The sequence below is a fragment of the Homo sapiens genome, chromosome 22 (genome assembly GCF_000001405.40).
Source record: "Homo sapiens chromosome 22, GRCh38.p14 Primary Assembly".
NCBI lineage: Eukaryota > Metazoa > Chordata > Mammalia > Primates > Hominidae > Homo > Homo sapiens.
In genome coordinates, this window is record NC_000022.11 from 48551283 (window position 1) to 48571895 (window position 20613).

General features: G+C 56.5%; 1 protein-coding gene across 1 annotated transcript in view, besides 3 other annotated features; it reads left to right on the plus strand.

Annotated features, from left to right (window-relative positions):
* TAFA5 (TAFA chemokine like family member 5) overlaps positions 1-20613 on the plus strand; it is a 262380-nt gene that overhangs the window by 61730 nt on the left and 180037 nt on the right. The gene's annotated exons all lie outside the window — the stretch shown is intronic.
* Positions 6894-7121: a silencer, noted in NCBI's record as "fragment chr22:48953988-48954215 (GRCh37/hg19 assembly coordinates)". NCBI's record gives its function as "represses an EF-1alpha promoter that drives an FKBP-Casp9 reporter gene in an ReSE screen in K562 erythroleukemia cells {active_cell/tissue: K562}" and the evidence as "EXISTENCE:reporter gene assay evidence [ECO:0000049][PMID:32094911]".
* Positions 8286-9174: an enhancer, noted in NCBI's record as "H3K27ac-H3K4me1 hESC enhancer chr22:48955380-48956268 (GRCh37/hg19 assembly coordinates)". NCBI's record gives its function as "activates a minimal SCP1, AML or CMV promoter by ChIP-STARR-seq in primed H9 embryonic stem cells {active_cell/tissue: H9 hESC(primed)}" and the evidence as "EXISTENCE:reporter gene assay evidence [ECO:0000049][PMID:30033119]".
* Positions 9175-10063: an enhancer, noted in NCBI's record as "H3K27ac-H3K4me1 hESC enhancer chr22:48956269-48957157 (GRCh37/hg19 assembly coordinates)". NCBI's record gives its function as "activates a minimal SCP1, AML or CMV promoter by ChIP-STARR-seq in primed H9 embryonic stem cells {active_cell/tissue: H9 hESC(primed)}" and the evidence as "EXISTENCE:reporter gene assay evidence [ECO:0000049][PMID:30033119]".

Here is a 20613-nt window from a genome sequence, read left to right on the forward strand (position 1 = left end):
CTCGGGGAGGAAAACACCAGCCGAGGGCTGGGCGGCTCGGCTCTGACCCAGACGCCTGGCATAGTCTTGGCAGGTGCCAGCCCCGTCTAGCCCCAGTGTCAACAGCAGACCCGTATCCTCTCCTCTCACCTCCTGGGCAAGGCCACTGTCCATGAAAAGCTTGCAAGAACTGGAGGAGCTGCATGAGCAGGATGGGACCAGGTGATGGCGGCTCGCTGGTTTTCCAGGCACACACTAAGGGGCCCAGCCCATCAAGAATTCCGCTCCAGAACTCCTTGATATTTGGCTTAAAGTTCAGCTCTAAATATAGACCTGTTGGGGTCTGTCGCAAGTGTTTTCTTGAGGGGCCTGTGACGATGTGCATGGGGTCCTAAGGGGGGCAGGGTTCTGGCACCCACCCTTCTCGTGGTCTGCAGCAGTGATGGAAGCAGGTGCAGGAGGGGAGACGGGGGCTAAGGAAACTCTGTGACAAGTGCTGCCTTCTCTCGCCTCCCCAAAGACCCTTCTCCAGGAGAGCCGCACCTCTGCCCCGCCCGCTCCCCTGGCTGGCCCAGGACCCACCTGCTGCCCCGCGCTTTCCCATGGCAAGTGTGGGTGTGGCCGCTGTTGGTAACAGAGGTGTGAGATCAAATGAATAGCCTCTGAGCCCCTGGTGGGAGTTGGGAGCCCTGTGGAAAACTGATTGAGAGCACGGGCTCCTGCGGGAAGGCAGTGCTGGCCCCACGCCCTGCGATGGCCGTTCAGCTCTGACTGTCCTCCCGGCAGGAAGCGTCCTCCAGTGCTCCCTCTGCTGTGCTCTGTCACTGTGGCTGTGTGGCTGCAGCCTGTGCACTGTGAGCCCTCCTTGTGTGGGCTCCCGGGGACCACCAGAGAGCCCCTCCCAAGGAGTCACCAGTCACAGCGGACCTCACATGGCTCTTCTGCTGTGGAGAAGGGTCCACACTTGCCTCCTGTGGGCCAGCTGCCTTTGCTTGCTGGTGTCCTGGTGCCTGGCTGCTGTCACCCAGGAGTTGGGCTCTGGGCAGGGAGGAGGGCTTCCTGGAGGCAGTGGCAGAAGTCTGATGGGCTGAAGCCCTCAGGAAACCTTCTCAGGGGGTCCCGTTTAGGAAACAAATCCCTCTGCTGATGTAGCTGCTGGCTGACTCTGTCAGCGCTGCCTGCTGTGGGAAGCCCTTATGAGCGTGTACATCCTCTCTCGGGGTCCTGCAGGCCACGAGGTGGGCAGCCTGCTCTCCTTGGGTCAGGACATGGAGACTTCACAGCCCGGCGGAACCCACGCCCATGCCCAGCTCTGCCTAAATGGATCGATCATCTAGAACCCCCGTCGCAGGGCTCGGAGTTGCGGGCAGGGTGGGAGACCCCTTCCAGAGGGGCCCCTGTAGATTAGCTCAGCTTACTTGATTCATTGATTTTGTCAAGGGTCCGTTTATCATACTGACAACTGGAAAAACCTTAAATAAACATTTATCATCCTCCGAGGGGCCCGGCCAGGCTCCCAGGGAAGAGGAGGGGCAGCTGGGATTGCACCTATATGGGGCTTCCAGGGCTCACCCCGAGGGAGGAGGCCCAGAGCCAGCCCTGGGTGCTGAGCCCCTGGTTTCCCACTGTTGTGACGGCCCTGTCTGCATTCCCTGCAGAATACCCCAGAGACTCAGACCTGGGGCTGATCTGAGGGGGGCTCGTCCCCAACCACCTGGTCACAGGCAGAGATTGGTCTGCCTACTGCTCATTCATTCATGCATCTTTCACCCCGAGAGCCCACCCCTCATCTCCCACCACCACACCCAGCACGGGCTCAGCTCAGACCCTGCTGTTGCCTTCCTCTGGAAGCTTCCTCTCTAGACATCCTCCTGACTTGTGTGATCCCAGCTTCCCTCAGATGCCCAAATGCCGCCTCGTCAGGGGAGCCCTCCTGGACCACCTTGACTCCACAGGCCCCCCGCTCTGTGCCCCTCCTGCCTGGCTCACTATGTCTCCGTGGAGGCCCCCATGCCCTGGCTCTGTGCGATGGACAGTGGTTCCTGTGCCCTCCATGTGCCCCCACAGACACGGGTCGGTCTCAGCTCTGTTCCTGGCTGCATGCCCAGTACCCTGACCAAGGACAGATTGCCCGGAGGCGCCCGGGCCAGAGGGAATAGGATGGAGGGAGGGAAGCAGGATGCAGGCTTCCCTGGCCGCATGCACTGGACACCCAGGAGGAGGATGGGGTCATGGGGAGACCTGCACCAGGGACAGGATGGTGGGAGAGGGTGAGGAGGCGTCCCAGGGATGAGTCCTGGGGCAGGGCTGGGAGGGGACAGATCACCAGGCACCACTGTCCTTGACTCTGTCCCCCACCCGGGGCCCAGACAGTGTTCTGGAAGGTTCCTACAGTGTCTCTGAGCATACCTCCATGCCTGCCGTGGTGCAGGCCCGTCTGCCTCCCACGGCTCTCTCTCCGGGCTGGTGGTGCCCTCCCTGTCTGCCTGACCTGGGGTGCAGCCCTGGCATGCCCGGTCCTCGTCTGTTCAGCCTGTGGCCTCTTTTTGCTGGGAGGGCTTGTCAAGGCCCCTGGAATCCAACCGAGAACTTGACAGTGGAGGCTGTTTGATGCTCATTAGGTGATCACCGTCCACCTGCCCAGCTCTTGGCCTCCGTCCTGGCCAAGCGTGGACACTGTGCTTGTCCAGGCCACTGAATGGGAGCATCAAAGAAGATACGGAAATTCCCCCAAAGCGACAAATGAGGTACAAACCACAGGCTTCCTTTTTATCCTGCTCCCGCTTCCAGAACCCAGGTCCTCGGGCGGCCGCTCAGAAGAGCTCAGCTCCCGCCTGGGCTCAGGGAAGAGATGAGGCTGTGGAGAGCCTTTGAAGGATCGGGAGGAAGAGGCTGGAGACTTTCTGAAAGGGCTCCCGGCAAAAATGTCCCCAGGGAAATGCTCCCGGGTGTCTGGGCTTCGACTTTGAAGGTGCAGAAGTTTGACGGGCTAGTTTAGGCCGTCATTTTTTTTCCATTAATAAAAATTAGGATAGGAAGGAAATTATCATAATCCAACATTGACAATGAAGCTTTCCCATTTACTTCTCTTTCTGTAAGGGTTTTTTAAAAATCAAAATGATTTACGATTAATACAGTGCATATTAAAACTTTTAACCTGGTACCTTCATAAAGTAAAAAAATGTTCCCAACATATTACATTTTTAATCACATGAGTTAATTACTCTTTAGGGAGGCTTTGGAAATTCTGGAAAGGAGGGTATTATGGATTTCAAAGAATGAGACTGAAACTGTCATTTTAATGAGAATGCAAATGAGATTGCTGAGGTTCAGCGGAGGTCACAGCAGCTTCATCATCAGGTTATTACAGCCATTTATTGCCAGTAACAAATGAATATTAAAAGCTATTGTTTTAACAGATTAGACCTCCAAATTATTATTATTTCAAAATTTCCTGGGTGTCTGGAATATAATTTAAAAATTATGAAATGCTAAGATTCTCTGCAGACCTATAATCCTCTCAAGAGCCTGCTGGTTTTTACAAAGATGTGGGTCTCTCTTTCCCCGAGTGTCAGAGCTTGCAGGAGTGTCTCTGCAGAGACAGTGGGACACTCATGGTCAGGTGCTTCCTCTCCCCATAGTGGTCCTGAGAGGGGGTCCTACGAGCCTCTTCAAGCTGTGTCCTCGGGAGTCCCTGGGCGGGGGCCCAGGGTGGCAATGTAGCCCCTGAGGCTGGGGCTCTGAGATCTCCGATGGTGGAGACAAGAGAAGGCTGTTCCAGTGGCTGTCATGGCAGCAGGAGGTCAGACGACTCCCACTGCAGGGCCACCCAGTCCTGGACACCTGTCCCTGCCCCACCCACCACTGTCTCTTAGCAAACAGCCCAGGGCCTGGCACACAGGGGCTCCGTGGATGCCGAGTGAAGGGAGGGAGGATGGATGAATGAATGAAGGAATGAATGGATACTGGCTGGTGGCATGGGGCTGGCGGTGGGCTCAGCGCTCTTCCTAAGCGGCACGACCGGCTTCCCAGGTGCCTGGGCATTCTCCTCCCTCCTCCCTTTCGCTCTCAGAGCAATCCCCTGTCTCACCAGCAGAGCAAGCGGAGCTCAGCCCTGGTGCTCAGACCGTGTCCTGCGAGGGATTTCCGGGGAGGGCGGCTGCTCCCTGATGGAGGACGTGGGCTCCCAGCTCATTCCTGTGGCTTTTCCTGACTCTCACTCTGACAACGTAGGTCTCCAAGCGTGTCTGTGTCTTCAGAAGTGCGGATCTTTATGGGAAGAGGGAGAGAGGGAGACAAGGCAAAAACAACAACAAAAATCCGCAAACCCACTGAACACTGAGAAGCTGCTGGAAGTGGCCTGGGGTGCACCCCCCACGCCACGGGCACCCCGTGGTCTGTGGCCTCCTGCAGCCAGGTGACCCCGTCATCAGCAAGGCCCAGGGAAGAGGGGACCTTGTCCGATCCCCTGAGACAGGAGCCCAGGAAGCTGGTCCAGGAGACCTACCCGAGGGCATCGGGCAAGATACGGGGGTGGGGATGGGGGCGCTGTGGCCGCTGGCTGGAGGCTGCCAAGCCATCTCTCAAGGAACAGCTGCTTCAAGTACACAGACCTGGGAGGGGCTGGGCCTGGCCTTGGGTGGTGCTTGTGAGGGGTGGAGGCCCTGCCACCTGCTCCCCTGCCCCAGCCAGGGCCCTCTTCTTGTTCTAGCTCCCTCCCTGGAGGTGTCCTGTCCTGTGGGCAGAGTCTTCTGATGACTTTGGGATTCATGGACCAGGCTAAGACCCTAAACGCTGAACCCCACTCCGGGAGGGGGATAGTAGGGATTGGTGGTCTCATCAAACTCCTGGGCCACTGATGGGAGGTGATGTCACCCGAGACCAATGGCACAGAGGGCATCACAGGCAGAGGAGAAGAATTTGTCCTGGGGAGGCTCCCAGGGGACTGTGAGAAGAGGCGGGTCCCTCACAGCAAGTGCTCACTGGCCCTGCATCCCCAGAGCCCCCTGTGGTCAGCCCCTCCTGCAGAGCAGCCCCTCTGGGGTTTGCCAAGCTCCGGGGACCTAGTGAGGTTGTGGCTGCATCTCCATCCTGCGCACCACAGGGAGAAGCAATTAAATGTAATAGATGCAGAGGCTCCCGGAATTACATTATTTAGGAGCTGCAGCTTACACACATATGCACGCGTGCTAAGCTGCACATAATTAATAGATTTATTTAAATCAGCCTCTGCCATCTGTATTCATCTGGAAGAGAAGCTTCTTGGCAGGCCCATGTTGGAAGACCTTTGATTTTTGAAAGGAAAGTGGGGTGTCCCGAAGAGGCGCTGGGGCAGCAGGGGATTCGTGTCCCTGGGGGCTCTGGTCTGCAGGGCACACATCACACAGGTGTGGCGGGGCAGTGACTGCAGCAGACAAGGCCAGGTGGTTCCTGCAGTCCGACCCGAGAGGGAGTGAGGCAGACAGGGATGTGGGGTCCCCTCGAGGCTGTTCTCAGGGACACCCCCCTAGGCAGGGTCCCACCTGATCATGGCCTTGCTCAGGGCCCAACCTCCACAGCCCCTGAGGCCCCATGCTCACTTCCCTTGGGGGCACTGTCCAGCTCCGGGGATGCAGACCCAGGCACCCTGCCGTCCACAGTGGTGTCCTCATGCACTCACTGGGCACAGACCCGCCTGCTTGGTCCTGGGAGGAAAAGCAGATGGCACTCATGAGAGTTAACCCTCCCAAAGGAGAAGAGGGCTGCAGCCGGGCCTGGCGTGGTCACCAGGGGCACCCACCGTTGGGAGGCCCGCAGGGAGCGGGGAGTGCGCCCAGGTCTGGGGTTCAGGGCCGGCAGCAGTAACGGCATCAGAACTGTGCTAGCGTCTGAATTGTGTCTCCCCAAAATCCGTATGTTGATGTCCTAACCCCAGCTCCTCAGAACATGACTGTACTTGGAGACAGGTTCTTTAAAGAGGTGATTAAGGTTAAATGGGGTCGTAAGGGTGGGGCCCTGATCCAGTATAACTGGTGTCCTTATAGCGAGAGATGAGGACAAGGACAGGCACAGAGGGGCCACCCTGTGAGGACACAGAGAGAAGACGGCGTCCACAGGCTGAGGAGGGCGGCGCCGGGAGGAAGCAGCTCTGCCCACACCTTGACCCTGGACTCCCGGCCTCCAGGGCTGCGAGGACATGAGTTTCTGCCCTGAGCGATGCTGGGGACAGGGCTGACAGGGATGCACCTGTGCCGTTCTGTTCTGGCCACCCTAGGACACCAGTCCCAGGTGGTGGTTAGATTAGAGGTGACCACGGCGGCTCCTTGCAGGAGGCTGAGTGGGAGCCTGGTCTCGCCCAAGCATTGCAGGCACTCCACTGAAAGCTGGTAGCTAAGGCTCCCTGAAGATGCCAGGCCACAGGCCACTGAGCGCCACGGCCACTCGCAGGTGGGAGGGCACCTCCAGACTCTCGGCAGAGGTCCAGCCCCCACAGCACCCCTTCCTGACCTGCCCTTAGCAGGCGGTGATGGGCGATCATTGTTCAGGGAGGGCTCTGGCCATGCCTAGAGCTCCCTCCCCGAGGTCAGCTCCCCTAGAATCCACTGGAAGGCAATGTCCCCTGAAAATGGGTCCCAGGACCCCTGTCCCTTGAGGTCACAATGAGGACACAACCGGAGGATGTGTCTAAGCCGGGGCAGGTGGGACCTTTCCCATGAGACAAGTTGGTGGAGACAGATTGGAGCCACGGAGCCCGCTCAGGCAGAGGCCCCAGTCTGAGGGGGGAGTGGTCTTGTTTCCCTCCCCTGTCTCCTTTAGATTCTGCACCTCACCAAGATCAGCACAACCTCCAGGGAACAGGGAAGGTGATGGGGACTCCCAGATGGAGAGCAAGCCGGGCCTGTGCCAGTTCATTCTTATTCAGTGCCACCGTCGCAACATCCCAATCTAGTCATTATTGCGTCTTCGCTCTCCGTGGCTGCATTATAACTGGAGCTTATGTTCAATTTGCTGGGAGCCGGCAAATCATCGTCTGCTTTTCCTCGGCACACACTCATTTGCTGTTGGCCCTAGGTGTTTCTTAAAGTCTAGCATTTTACACATAGACAAATTAAATCTTGTTTTTGAATGCGTCCCTCCCTGGAACTGACATAACGCTCTTTAATGTCTGTCGCACCTCTTGGGTTCTTGGGGCTCATAATCATTTGCATTTTCAAGCAGCAGATTCCTTACAGGGACGTATCCTCAAAGCCAATAATGAAGTGATTAAGGAGAGTTGGGCTCCTGTGGGTGTTTGCCACGGTCTCTCTCCTGCCATCCATGTGAGCGTGGCCTCAGGAGCCGTGGTCTGTGGAGAGGTCTCTTCATTGCTGTGGAATATTCATTTGGCCAACCAGGAACACCTCCACAGTATCTTCCGGGCGTGGCCACTGGGAGACTCGAATGCGGAGACATGGTCCAGGGGCTGTAGACCAGCGAGGTCCAGTCAGGTTCAAGGGCCAGGATGGGGAGGGGCGTGACACGAGTGTGTGCCACAGAGGGCTGGTGGTTCACGAGGTCAGGAGGATACCCTGGGTGCCCACGTGTGCCAGGTGCCTGGGCGAACGGCGGGCCCACCTCCTGGGCTTCACTTGCCTCCGCCAGCTGCCAGGGAGTGAGAGAATAGGAGCATGGCGGGAAATTCACAATAAGCAGGTGCCAGGCCTGAACTGTGTCCCCCACATTCAAATGGCCTAGGCCCAGGGCGATGGCATTTGGAGGTGACAAGGTCATACAGGGGCCCTTATACTGGGGTCAGGCCCTTAGGAAAGAGGCGTGAGGGAGGTGCCCCCTCCCTCTCACTGCTACATGAGGGACACAGTGCCGAGGGGCCCAAGGAGGGAGCCCATACCAGGAACCCAGTTGGGCTGCCCTTGACCTTGTTGAGGCCGCCCGGGGCCATGGTGTTTTGTGGTGGCAGCTGGAGCTGACACCAGCGGTGGACGCTCCTCCTGGGCCACTGGGCTGCCCCGCAGCAGATTTTGGGACCCATGGCGGTCGGGGCTGCTTGGGAAGTGGGCCCCATGGTGGAGGGATGGCTCTGACTCTGAGCCCTCAGCCATCACTGCTCTGTGCTCTTTCTAGTCTGGAGGTGGCCTTGCTCTCGGGAGCAGGCACTGAGGTCCCAGCTAGAGCCCCTCCCTGAGATGAGCCGGGTAACCTGACAACCCACACTGCGGGGTCCCCTGCCCCACAACCCCTCCTCTGACCCTGGTGGTCCTGGAGCTCTGCTCTGAGAGGCGACATGGCTGATGGAGGAAGGTGGGCCCCTTCCCCCCTGGTCTCCACGTCCCCAAGGCTTCTCCCTGTCACTGCAGCCGTCACCGAGAGGGCTTTTCTGGGGCAGTCAAGCCTTGAAAGTGGGAGAATCAGCGAGACCTAGAGGGGATATGGGGTTTGGCTGAGCCTTGAGGAGGAGGAAGGAAGCCAGGAAGGGGCGTGTGGGATGAGGGCACAGCCCGAGCCAGGCAGGAGGGGCGGCGGGGCCTGCCTTTGGGGAGCAGAGGGGACAAACCCAGAGGCGGAGCGCGGCGGGGATGGAGGAAGGGATGCAGGGGCAGCGCCACAGGCCCGGGTCTTCATCCTCATTACAACCATCGCCAGAGATGCGGTCGCCGTGCACTGAATCTTTGCGGGGGCCGTGGTAGAGACGTTTCTATCTCAGCCTGGCACGGGAGGACCTGAGGCCAGAATGCAGGGGTCCAGACCCCCGTGGGTGTGAGGGTCTGGGCAGGAGTGACTGCAGGGTCTTCTTTCTATGCACACGCCGGCCATCCTCCATCAGGCAGCTGCCCTGGCCACCGATGCCTTCGCAGCATAGGATTTGGGGACCTCCACGTGCCGTCCCATGGGAAAGCCGAGTCCTTGTAGGGGAGGAGCGTCACTGCTCTCAGCAGGGGACCGTTTCTCTAACGGGAGCCTGTCAGTTTCTGGGCGGGGGTGTGATGTGGCTGAGGCGTCTGTCCCTGTCGTGCGCCCAGGCTGGTGCCGTCAGGCTCCCGGCATTGGTGCACCCCGGCATTGGTGTGGCCACTGCACTGGTGTGGCCCTGGCATTCATATGGCCCCAGCAGGCCCCCCAGCATTTCCATTCTCGGCCTCCAATCCCTGGAGACCACACGTGGGATGCCAGGAGCACCAAGGGTGCAGGTAGGCCATCAGGGCCTGGGGCCAGCCCGGGCAAGGACAGTGCCAGCAGGCGCCCCCAGTGTGAACTAATGTGAGGTGCTTTCATGCTGCAGAAGGCACCTGGGTCCTGACACCCACACTGGGCCATGAAAAACGTTGTATTTTATTATTATTATTATTATTATTATATTATTATTATTAATTATTTATTTATTTATTTTTGAGATGGAGTTTCGCTCTTGTTGCCCAGGCGGGAGTGCAGTGGTGCTATTCGGCTCACTGCATCCTCTGCCTCCCGGGTTCAAGCAATTCTCCCGCCTCAGCTTCCTGAGTAGCTGGGATTACAGGTGCTCAACACCACGCCTGGATAATTTTTTGTGTTTTTAGTAGAGATGGGGTTTCACCGTGTTGGCCAGACTGGTCTTGAACTCCTGACCTCAGGTGATCCACCCACCTCGGCCTCCCAAAGTTCTGGGATTACAGGTGTGAGCCACCACGCCTGGCCTCACAGTTGTCTTTAAAGTGGCTTTTGTTTGGCTCCTGTGTGTGAGCAGTTCTCATCCTGTGCAGTCCTCTACACCTGGGGATGGAGCGGTTCCCTGTGTGGGTGACACTGGGATTTGTCTGGGTCTGGCTGTGGCAGGCTCTGCTCTTCAAGCTGGGAGGTGGGTGGGGACTGTGGATGGGAGGTGATGCATCCCACCCTGGGAAGGCGTGTGTGATCATAAGGACAGAAAGGCCTCAGGGCCCAGGGAGCAGCTGGGCTGATGACATCCCACATCTCGGATCCACTCTGCTCTGTGGCTCTGGGACCCTTTGCTGGTACCTCTATCACCAGCCCAAGGAAAGTCCTTTCTGCTTGAAGGACAGAACCCAGAGCCTCTCCCGTCCGCAGGGATAGCCGAGTCCCCTGGCTGCAATGTTTCTGGGGCCCCTTTGCAGGTTTGTGAATTCCTCAGACTGCTCCGTAGATGACAAGGCTGTTCCAGGGTGTGCTGGGGCTGCTGGCCTCTGGGGAGGAAGGCACATGGTGTCCTCAGCAGGGGCTGTGTTTCCAGCCTCGTTTCGTGGATGAAAAATCACCCACACTTCTGGAGCCTGACCTCTCTGTGGAGGCCACACCTCTCCACGGTTTGAAATGTTTGCCACCCCTGTTTGTATCCGCTCCTAACAGTGGCTTCTGGGTTGGCAGGGCTGGAATGCTTGGCTTTGTGATGATGACGGTGGCCACGGCAACGCCTCAAGCCTTGGACCCCCCAACCCCACTGGAGATCCGCGATGCCCATTGGGGGTCATGGGCCACTGGCACAAACAATGCTCCCCCAGGTGTCGAAAAATCAATAAACCATTTCTGGTGCTGGGAGCAGACGTTGAGTCACTGACCTGGGCTTTGACCTTATTTAGAAGTTTGTGTTTCCGAGGCTCAGCACGGCTGCGTGGGGACCAGTCCGGGGCCACACACATTCTGCACAGTGACGCGGGATCAGAGTCCTTTCTGTCCTGGGACTGGGACCGTGGGCGGTGGCTCGGCTCATGGCCACTGGTCACCCTGCCCGGCCTCAGGCTCCCTGAGTGCTCTCTGCCTCAGGGTCCCTTTCTTAGGGATTCATAGTAGGAACAGCCTGGCAGGCGGTGGTGTGGACTAGGTCCTGGCGCAGGGTAAGCACTGATTTGCAGCCATCTCTGCTGCCCTCCTTATCCTAAGCCCCCTCATTTCCCCAGAGCCTTTCTTTTTTCTTTTTTTCTTTTTTGAGATGGAGTCTCGCTCTGTCGCCCAGGTTGGAGTGCAGTGGCGCCATCTCAGCTCACTGCAAGCTCTGCCTCCCGGGTTCACGCCATTCTCCTGCCTCAGCCTCCTGAGTAGCTGGGACTACAGGCGCCCGCCACTATGCCCGGCTAATTTTTTTGTATTTTTAGTAGAGACGGGGTTTCACCGCATTAGCCAGGATGGTCTCGATCTCCTGACCTCGCGATCTGCCTGCCTCGGCCTCCCAAAGTGCTGGGATTACAGGCGTGAGCCACCGCGCCCGGCCCCGCGGAGCCTTTCTAGAAAATGGGAAGGGGGCACAGGAGGGTCACTGAACAGTAGTGTGGACCTTACAAGGCCTGTGACTCAGAGAGGCAGCCCCGTATCAGCAGCAAGCCCAGTCCTCCCCACCAGGGTGAGCATCTAGGGAGGGAGGGGGGGAATTTAGCTCCTGTGGGGACCCCCGGGGCCCGGTCACAGCCTCCAAGGCCCTCGGGACTCCACTGACACTGCCAGGAAAAGCTGCCTTCCACCCCTCCTAGGCCATCATTGACTGGCAGATGGGACAGCCAGGCCCCCACGCCCAGTCTCTGGTTAATGGTGGGTCAGGGCGGGTCAGGCCTGAGCCCCTGACACGGCTTCTCATGAGAACTCCACCCCCACAGTGAGAGAGGACTCACTCGTGAACTTTGGAAAACTCCCCCAAACCACACGGGGCCCCACTTGACAGCTCGGAGACCCTCTTTCCTCTCACAGCCCCGGGACCCCGGGATGCCCGTCTGTGCGGAGGCCCTGGGGGGTGATGGCACTGGAGGCCCTGGCGGAGCTGCAGGCTGGTGCCTTGGCATCTCCCACACCAGAGCTGGGCTGGACCGAGCCGCCCGCTTGCTCCTGCACAGCCGCAACTGACCTTCAAGAGCCTCGGCCCTTGACCTTCCACCATTTCTCTGACATTTAGCAAACAGTGCCGGCCGCCCCTCCTCAGGTACTTGGCCAGGTCTTTGCGTGGCCCCCAAGAGCCCTGTGGACAAGTGGCCCCCTCATCCCCTCCAAGAGCCCTGCAGACAAGTGGCCCCTCGTCCCGGGTGCTCTTCCTGTTTATTCTCCAGCGGGGACCACCGTGGGCGCTTATGTCGGTTTCCAGAGACTTCCATGACTGTACCCACCCCACACTCCTCTAGAGCTGTCCTCCAGTGGGGACCACGGGGGCCGTTTCTCCCAGCTTCCGGTGGTCTGTCTGGCCTCACTCACCGGCAGTGTGGAGGCTGGGCCCTGAACTCCTCTGGGCACAGGTGGGGCTGGTGTTGGCCGCATATCTGAGTGTCTGAAGGCGGGTGGCGTGTGGGGCTCCTCTTGTCTCTATATGGGAAGAGGGGCCTGGCTCCCAGAGGGTGCCTGCATCTGCCATCTGAGAAGGGGCTCTTGCTGCTGCCGGGCAGGCATGGGTCCTGGAGCTCAGCGCTGCTGGGCTCTCTGCCCCTCGGACTCCTCTGCACCCCAACAGGCTGGGGCATGGCCTCCTCCCTCTGAGCAGCAATGGTCACGGTGCCTGTTCTGCTACCAGCGAGCTGAGCAGGGTATCGGGAGCTCGGGCTCCTGGGAGGACACCAGCTTCCTGACAAAGGTCAAGACCCCAAGGACCCACGCCAGGTGGCAGCGTCGACTCCACCCTACTATAAGTAAAGGCCACTCCCTCACTGGCCTGCCTGGCCCAGCCCGCCTCCAGGTCCTACCAGGTTCCTCACTGGGCCCAGGTTTTCCTGGAGCCGGGCATCCTTGTCCTTCCTGAAACCGACGATGCTGTAGAAGGAGCAGCTGTTCTCTGTACAAAGAGTGCATTGTACAGCCAAGGGTTCCTCAGCGTGGGGTCCCCCAAAAGCAGACCCTAAGCCGAGGCCTGGCGTGCACATGATGTGTGCAGGAAGTGAGGACGTGGAGCGGGCGGGGAGTGCGGTCCACAAAGGCGGCTCATCCCCTGGTCACGCTGTGGGCAGCTGGACACATGACCACTGTGAAAACGGAGGAAGACAACCAATGAGAATGAGCAAAGGCCGTTACTCAGCGCCCGCAGCCTGAGGATGGCAGGAAGCTTGTGGCGGAACAGGGACGCTCCAGGTTGCGCGGATGGGAGGCCTAGGCCTGGGCAAGCCAGAGCAGCTACCTAAGGGGGCTTCAGGGCACGTTGGGTTTTCTCTGGTTGGTCCTGAGTTGGGACGAAGGGACACAAAATGAAGGAAGCTGGTGGTTACTGACCAAGTGCTGACCTTTTGGGCCTGAAGGCTGCAGAGGCTGTGGGTTGGCTTCCAAGCTTGCAGCTGCAGGACAGTGGGCTGGAATTCTGCTGTCACATGTGGTCTGGTCATTGTCCTTCTGGATGGCCAGTCAGCCCACTGGGAGCTCTGAAAAAGGTACACACCATGGGCTGGGGCTCCGAGTCTTCTTCCCAAGGGTGAGGGGTTGGAGCATCTATGGGCCCAGCTCTGCAGGCCTTAGTTGAGGGCCACTCCTCATTGGTCCCAGGGACTGCAGCCTCCTTCTCAGTTGGACAGAGTGGGCTCCAGCGGTTGGAGAAAGCTTCCAGGCCTGGCACTTGTGTGCTGGTCCTTGGGAGCCACTGAGGGAATGTCCTGGGGGTTCCATCAACTTTTGCAGCGAGGCTCAGCTGACTATAACCAGCATGGAAGCAGGACAGCTACCCCATGGTGGGTGCCTTCGGTGCCACGCACAGTCTGAGACACCCGCCCCCCAGTGGCCCTGCAAAAAAGAGGAGGTGCAGAAGCTGCAGCTGGGAGAGTTGTAAGCTGGCATCTCCATCCATGAGGGGTTAGAAGGGAATTAAAATGCACGGCCCCACACCTGCTGTCTGTGCTCTGCACTCTGCCTTCTCATCCCATGGTAAGGTGGGGGCTGGGGAACCTCATGGCCGTGGTGGGGCTGAGAGGAGCTTCCCTGGAGGAGACTGGCCATGGTCACGGCAGGCGGGAGCGGACTCCCTGCCATGTGAGGGCATGTGGGCTCCGGCTTGAGGCAGGCCCAGGGAACAGGCAAGAACCCCACTGTCACGGCCAAGTGCTGGGTGGGGTGTAGACCCTGAGAAGGCACAGTAGGCGGGGCACTCCTCAGGCGCTGGCTGCAGGGGATGGGAAGTGGCCCTCCTAGCGGTGGGTAGAGGAGTGGGAATGTAAATGTCCCAGATCCAGGCCCTCTGGCTTAATGGACAGCAAAGTCCTAGAAGTGGCTGTGGGGTGATGCTCCTGTTTTAGTTTTGCAAATGCATGATGCTCTGTTCCCAGCAATGTGTACATAAATATTCAGTGCACCAGGGCCACCAATACCTAACTCTTTTCAACTCTGCTTAGCTCAACCTGCCTGGCTGGTGCCAGCCTTGGGCAGAATCTGATGTTTTCCCCCATCCATTGAAGGCTTTTAGGGCATCCACAGAGAAACTGTCATTCTCAGGTCTTAGGTTCTGGACATCCACCTACCACGTTAGAGCTCTGCCTCACTGCTGAGAGGATTTCCCGGGACTTGCACCCACCGCAGCCCTGTGCTCAGCTCTCAGGAACACACATGCTGGCTTCAGCCATGGAGCTTGCCTTATGGGACTAGAATTGCCTTGGAGCAGTGGCTTGAGATGGCAGGTCTGGGTTTTATTCTCTCCTGATTGTTCCTTGCCTAGACCAAAACCAGGGATGGGTGGACGGATGGATGGACTGATGGTAGACAAATGGATGGATGGATGATAGATAGATAGATGAATTGATAGGTAGATGAGTAGATGGATGATGGATGATGAATAGATGTGCAGCTGGGTGGATGGGTGGATGGATGGATGGACAGATGGATGTATGATGGATGGATTGTGGCTAGATGGATGACGGATAGATGATGAGCTGATGATGGATGGATGATGGATGGATGGATGGATGATGGATGAATGATAGGTGGATATGGATAGATAGATGATGGATGGATGGATGATGAATGGATGATGGGTGGACAATGAATGGATGGTGATGGGTGGATGGATGGTGGATGGATGGGTGGATGGTGGATGATGGGTGGATGGTAGGTAGATGGATGATGGGTGGATGGTAGGTAGATGGATGATGGGTGATGAATGTATGATGGGTGGATGAAAGATGGATGGATGATGGATAGATGGATGGATGGACGATGGGTGGATGATGAATGGATGGTGATGGGTGGACGGATGGTGGATGGATGGGTGGATGGTGAATGATGGGTAGATGGTAGGTGGATGGATGATGAATGGTAGATGGGTGATGAATGATTGATTGATGGAGGGATGGATGTTGGATGGGTGGATGACAGATGGATGGATGATGTACAGATGGACAAATGGGTGAGTGGAAAGATGAAGGGGCCTATGAGGATGTTTGGCCTCTTTAGGGAGGTAGCAGGGGCTGCCCGGGTACACCTAGCTTTAGCCCAACCTCTCCTTCTGCTGCCATAGGCAGGTTGCTGAGCTGCCTCAGCCTTAGTTTCCTCAGCAATACGTTGGGGGGTGGGGTGGAATCTTTGCCTAAGAAGGTTGTGAGAACTAAACGGGGTGAGGTGTGTAAAGGGTGTGGCCTGTAGAGAACCCAGCCCCTGATCATGCTCTCCTCCTTTTGCCTGTGTCCTCCTTGGAAGCATTTTTCAAAGCCCTGGGTCCATGCAGCCCTTGTGGTTCTGCAGCTTTTTTGCCGTAGTTTGCTCACCACTGTGGTTTCATGATTTACGCCTGGGGCCGTCAGTGGGTTGGGTTTGTCCTTTCTCCTTTGCTCCGCAGCACTGCTGCCTGCGGACTGGCCGCACTGGATTCCCCTTTCCCTGCGGAAGGGCACTTGCGTTGTCTCCAGGTTTCGCTGTTCCACTTGTGGAGGGGCCTTTCTCCACACGGGCAGGTGCTGCTTCGGGGCATTTTCTGAAGAATAGAACTTCCAGATTTCGGGTGGGAACATCTTGAATTCGCTTTCATTTTCCTTAGGATAGTTGAACAGGAAATGATTGTTTTTAAACAAAAACACACACACAAAAATGTGTTTGCTTCCCTGAGGGGCAGGCGGAGCCCTCACTTGGGGAGAGCATCCCGCTGTGTGCTGCCCGCCTGGCCTCCGGAAGGCTGCTGGGAGGGCCCTCGTGTGTGCCCATCTGTTTCCGAGGACTGCGGGTAGCAGGCTCCCGCCCCAGGCTGAGTGCTTTCCTCCCAGCCTTATTAGGAAATGCTTTAAAAGGACAATCCCCACTTTGAGTGAATGGGATCTATTAAGCCCAGCGAAAGTGTGAGTTAATGTGTGCAGAGAAAAGATAAGAATTTCAAAAAGGAGAGCAGGGTGATCGTGGGTGCGGGTCTGGAGATAAGAGTCCCTGCGGTTGCTGTGGGCGGGGATTGGTGGGCATGGCTGGCAGGGCTGGCCAGCGTGGGCAGGTGGCCTGAGGAGAGGGGGGACAGGCCTGCTCCTCCAAAGGTCCCCTCCCAGCCCCCTCCTCCTGTCCACATTCACTCAGAACTCACCAGCTGGTCACATATCCTCCAAGCTCCTCCGGGTGAGCTCGGGAACTAAGAGCAGCTCTTAGTTCTGGGTACCCTGGGCTGTGGAAGGGGTGGCTGGGGCTGCAGGAACAGGTGTGACACCGCTGTCTGCAGGGTGGCCTGGGGAATGAGGTCTCACAGGATGATGGTCAAGAAGGGCATCCCTGGCTGAGGCTCAGCCCATGCAAGGTGCTGGGCAGGCCTGGGAACGGGCAGAGGTTTGGCTGCACTGGAGTGGCCTGCAGTCCTAGAGCTGGGAGGTGAGACCAGTGAAGAGCATGGATCCACCGTGGGCAGCGTCTGTGCCAGCTGGGGAGCTTCAGTCCCATCTAGGGGACAGTGAGTTCACGACCTCTATTTTCTGGGTACGCCAAAGCAGGTCACAAAATAAATGCGAGTAAAACAGCCAAACCCTGGGCCAGCAGGCAGTCTGTCTTCGCCCGTGTGACTGAGCCCACAGGGCCTGCCCAGACTGCGGCCTCAGCCATCCCAAGGCCCAGCTGGTCAGCGAGAGAAAGCAGCACCTTCCCCCTGCCCTGGCCTGCGCCTCCATCTTCTCTTTTTTCCTCTGGAAACTGGTGGCCTTTCCTCTTCTGGTTTTCTATCTCTTCTATCACCTGCTCTGCTCACGTCTCGTCTGCTCCAGAGAGAGGATGTGCAACTCACTCAGCCTGGGTATGAAGCACTGAGGAGAGGTCAGAGCCAGCCCTGCTGGGGCATCTACCCTTGGTGCAGAATCAAAACTTGAGCTCAGATGAAGATTCTCTTCTGGGAGTGACTCCAGACAAGGGCTGGCTGGGACATCTCTCGGAGATCCCCACAACAGTGTGTCCCAGAGGTCTCCTTGGGGACAAGATATGGCCTCTTCCACACATGCAGGAGGAAAAGGAGGAAAGAAAACATTGATTGAGACCAACCGTGTGCAGTGTTCTCTGCCTGCATTTGCTGTAATCCTTGCAGTGGGCGTCAGTGAGGACTCGGGGCACAGGGAGACTAATGACTGGCCAGCGGTCTGGTCACAACGGTGGCTGGAGCTGTGACCAGTGGTCCTCCCCCCACGAAGCCCATTGCTTTTTGCCCCATGCTGCCCCATGAGCCTGGACTGCCAGCCCAGGCTCCCTTCTCCCCATTGCCCTTCTCTAGATCTCCTTCCACTGTCCAGCAGTGCTGAGCACAGCCTCTGGGGCTGGGGTGGGGGACGAGGGCAGATGAGGACAGAGCATCCTTTTGTGCTCACGGCCAGGGATGAGGGCAGACGAGGGCAGAGCATCCTCTTGTGCTCACGGCCAGGGCTATCAGGCACCCTCCATCCTGAACCCACAGCCAGCTCTGAAGGAGGGGCAGGGCCGGGCTGTGAGCAGACTGGTTCAGGCGAACCACAGGAACCCTCACTGGCCGTGGCCTCCTACACAGCCGCCTCCCCTCTCTGGTGCCTGGTTTTGGCCTCTGTGGGATGGGGACAGCTGCCTGGGGTGTGCCAAGTACTGCAGGTGGCCGCAGTTACTCAGAAGAGGGCAATCTCCGGGGAGGACGATGGATGCAGGGCCACGGGCCGTGGATACTCAGACTAAAGCTCTAGAGGAGTGTGAGGTGGGTGCAGTCATGGAAGTTTCTGGAAACTGAAAAACCTGGCCCGGCCCCGACATTTGAAATGACCCTTTGCTTCTCACCATGTGCTTGGCATCGATTCAATAAACCGTGTGTTTGGGGTGTCTCCGGGGGGTCTGGGCGCCTTGCTGTTTTGTGACCTCTGGGATGGCTGGTCTGATAGTGGACTTGGAGGCTGCCAAGGACATGGGGAGTGTGGCCGCTACAATCAAGGCCCACGGGGTGCATAGCATTCCTGTGAGCACCATGGTCCCTCCTCACCAGAGCAACCTCAGCGCTCCCGACCTTGGCTGTGTGCATGGTGCCCGTGGAAGCCACTGTGCGTTGCCATGGGCCCAGTCTGCTGTCGTTGCATTGCTGATCCTGGCTGACACGGGGGCCGGGCTCGTCAAGTGGTCATGGAAGTGCATGCTGACCTGACCCACGTGCATCCCGGGGGGTGGCCTCCCGCAGGCCTTGCTTGGGTTCCGGGTACTGGTGAGGCCCATGGCTGCCTTCCAGGCCTGTCCCCAGCATGCGGCTGGCGTGCCCTCTCACTGTTTCCCAGGCCCAGAAAGAGGCAGGAACTATGGCCTGTCATGCTCTAGTCCTTCTGGGGACTTCTTTGGGCCCTCATGGGCCATGCTGGATTTACCCCAATGTCCTGGCCGCCAGTGCCCCCGCACACATAGCCGCGGTGCCAGAGGCCTCCCTGAGGCTGTGCTCTTCCTGGCCGACATGCTCACGTGCAGATCACCCCTCTTTCTGGCTCAGCCTCACTCCTCTGCTCCCCACACTCCCCTGGCAGGGCCCTCCCATGCTGCATCTGCCCTGCCTTCCGGTCCACACTGGATGGATTCTGCCTATTGGTCAAGGCCAACATCATGACCTCCTCCCTGCCTCGTGGTCTGTGATTGTTAGAGGCACAGGTATGATCATGCCCGCTGAAAACATGGCTGAGGCTGCCTTTATCTTTGCCTATACATATACCACTTCTTCCTTTTCCTCAGAGTACAAAGCATTACATTATATGAATGTAACACAATTTATCTACATTGTTTTTATGAGACAAGGGTATCTCAAATCGCAGAATATACATGACGCATATGGTAAAAAACAAATTACAATGACAAAGGAAAGTTCCAAATGAGAAGCAGGATTTCACCTCCTTCTTCCTGGCATCCAGGCCTTTCCCCAGGGACAAAATGGTTAATAGCTTCTTTCTTACCCAGCCTGGCCCTGATCACGAATACATTTTTAGTTTCAACATGCGTGATGTCAGCAGTGCACACTCAAATTTTACTTCTTAATTCATCACCTCTGGTCAGGACCTCGTCACTTTCCATTTTGAACAGTGAAAAACACGGAGGGCCTACTTTCTCCATTAAAACACTGCCTTCCTCTTTTCATTCCTCTATTATGTATTTAATGGTCAGGGTTTGAGAATTTACATTTCGCTTTCTACTATTAATTTGTGTACATGTTGGTTTTAAAATTTGAATGGAATTAAAGGACATTTATAGTACTATCCCATAAATGTTTATAGCAGAAAGAAGATTTCTGACTAGAACTATGGAGAAAGAGATATACCATTGTAAAGATTTTACCTGTTGGAGATTCTTTCAAGTATGAAGGCCTAATGTATCTTCATACCTATTCTTCACAGTTTTTCTACTTCTAGAGAGTCAAATGTGCTAAATTTTCCTTTATCCCATATCTCCAAGTACATTCCCTTGATTCCTTTCTCTGGTGGAGTGTAACCTAGATCAGCTTTTTCTATAAGGGATGGGACTAGTAAACTGAACTTCTGAATCCCCTCAAATGGTATGCATCGTTGACTGTTTAGCTGGGTATAAAATTCTAGGTCTTCTATCTTTTCCCATCAGAATCTGAAGTCACTGCTCCACTGTCTTTGAGAAGCCAGTGTTTCTAAAGCAAAATTCAGTATCAGCTCATTTCTTTCCTCAGAACATTTTTTTGTTGTTGTTGTTTGCTTTTTTTTTTTTTTTTTTTTTTGAGACAAAGTCTCGCTCTGTTGCCAGGCTGGAGTGCAGTAGAACAATCTCGGCTCACTGCAACCTCTGCCTCCTGGGTTCAAGTGATTCTCCTGCCTCAGCATCTGGAGTACCTGGGATTACAGGCACCCACTACCACGCCCAGCTAATTTTTGTATTTTTAGTAGAGATGGGGTTTCACCATGTTGGCCAGGATGGTCTCAATCTCCTGACCTCGTGATCTGCCTGCCTTGGCCTCCCAAAGTGCTGGGATTACAGGCATGAGCCACTGTGCCTGGCCTGTTTTTTTTTTTTTTTTTTTTTTTTTTTTTTTTGCTTTAAAAAAAAATTCTGCAAGGTTTTCTTGCATTGGTTGGATCTAGGGGTCTGTCCATTAGATCTAATCAGAATATGGTAAGTCTCTACAATCTGAAGATGTGCATTTATTTATTTGACTATTTCCTCCTCTTTGTTGCCTTTTATTCTCCTTTAGAACTTCTAATAAATGAAAGTTGGATGTTTAATGTTTAGGATATACCCTCTAGGTCTCAAATTTTCCATACTTTTTCACCTTTCTATGTGCTCTCCACTCTTATAAACATATTTGATTTTACTTTCCACAGC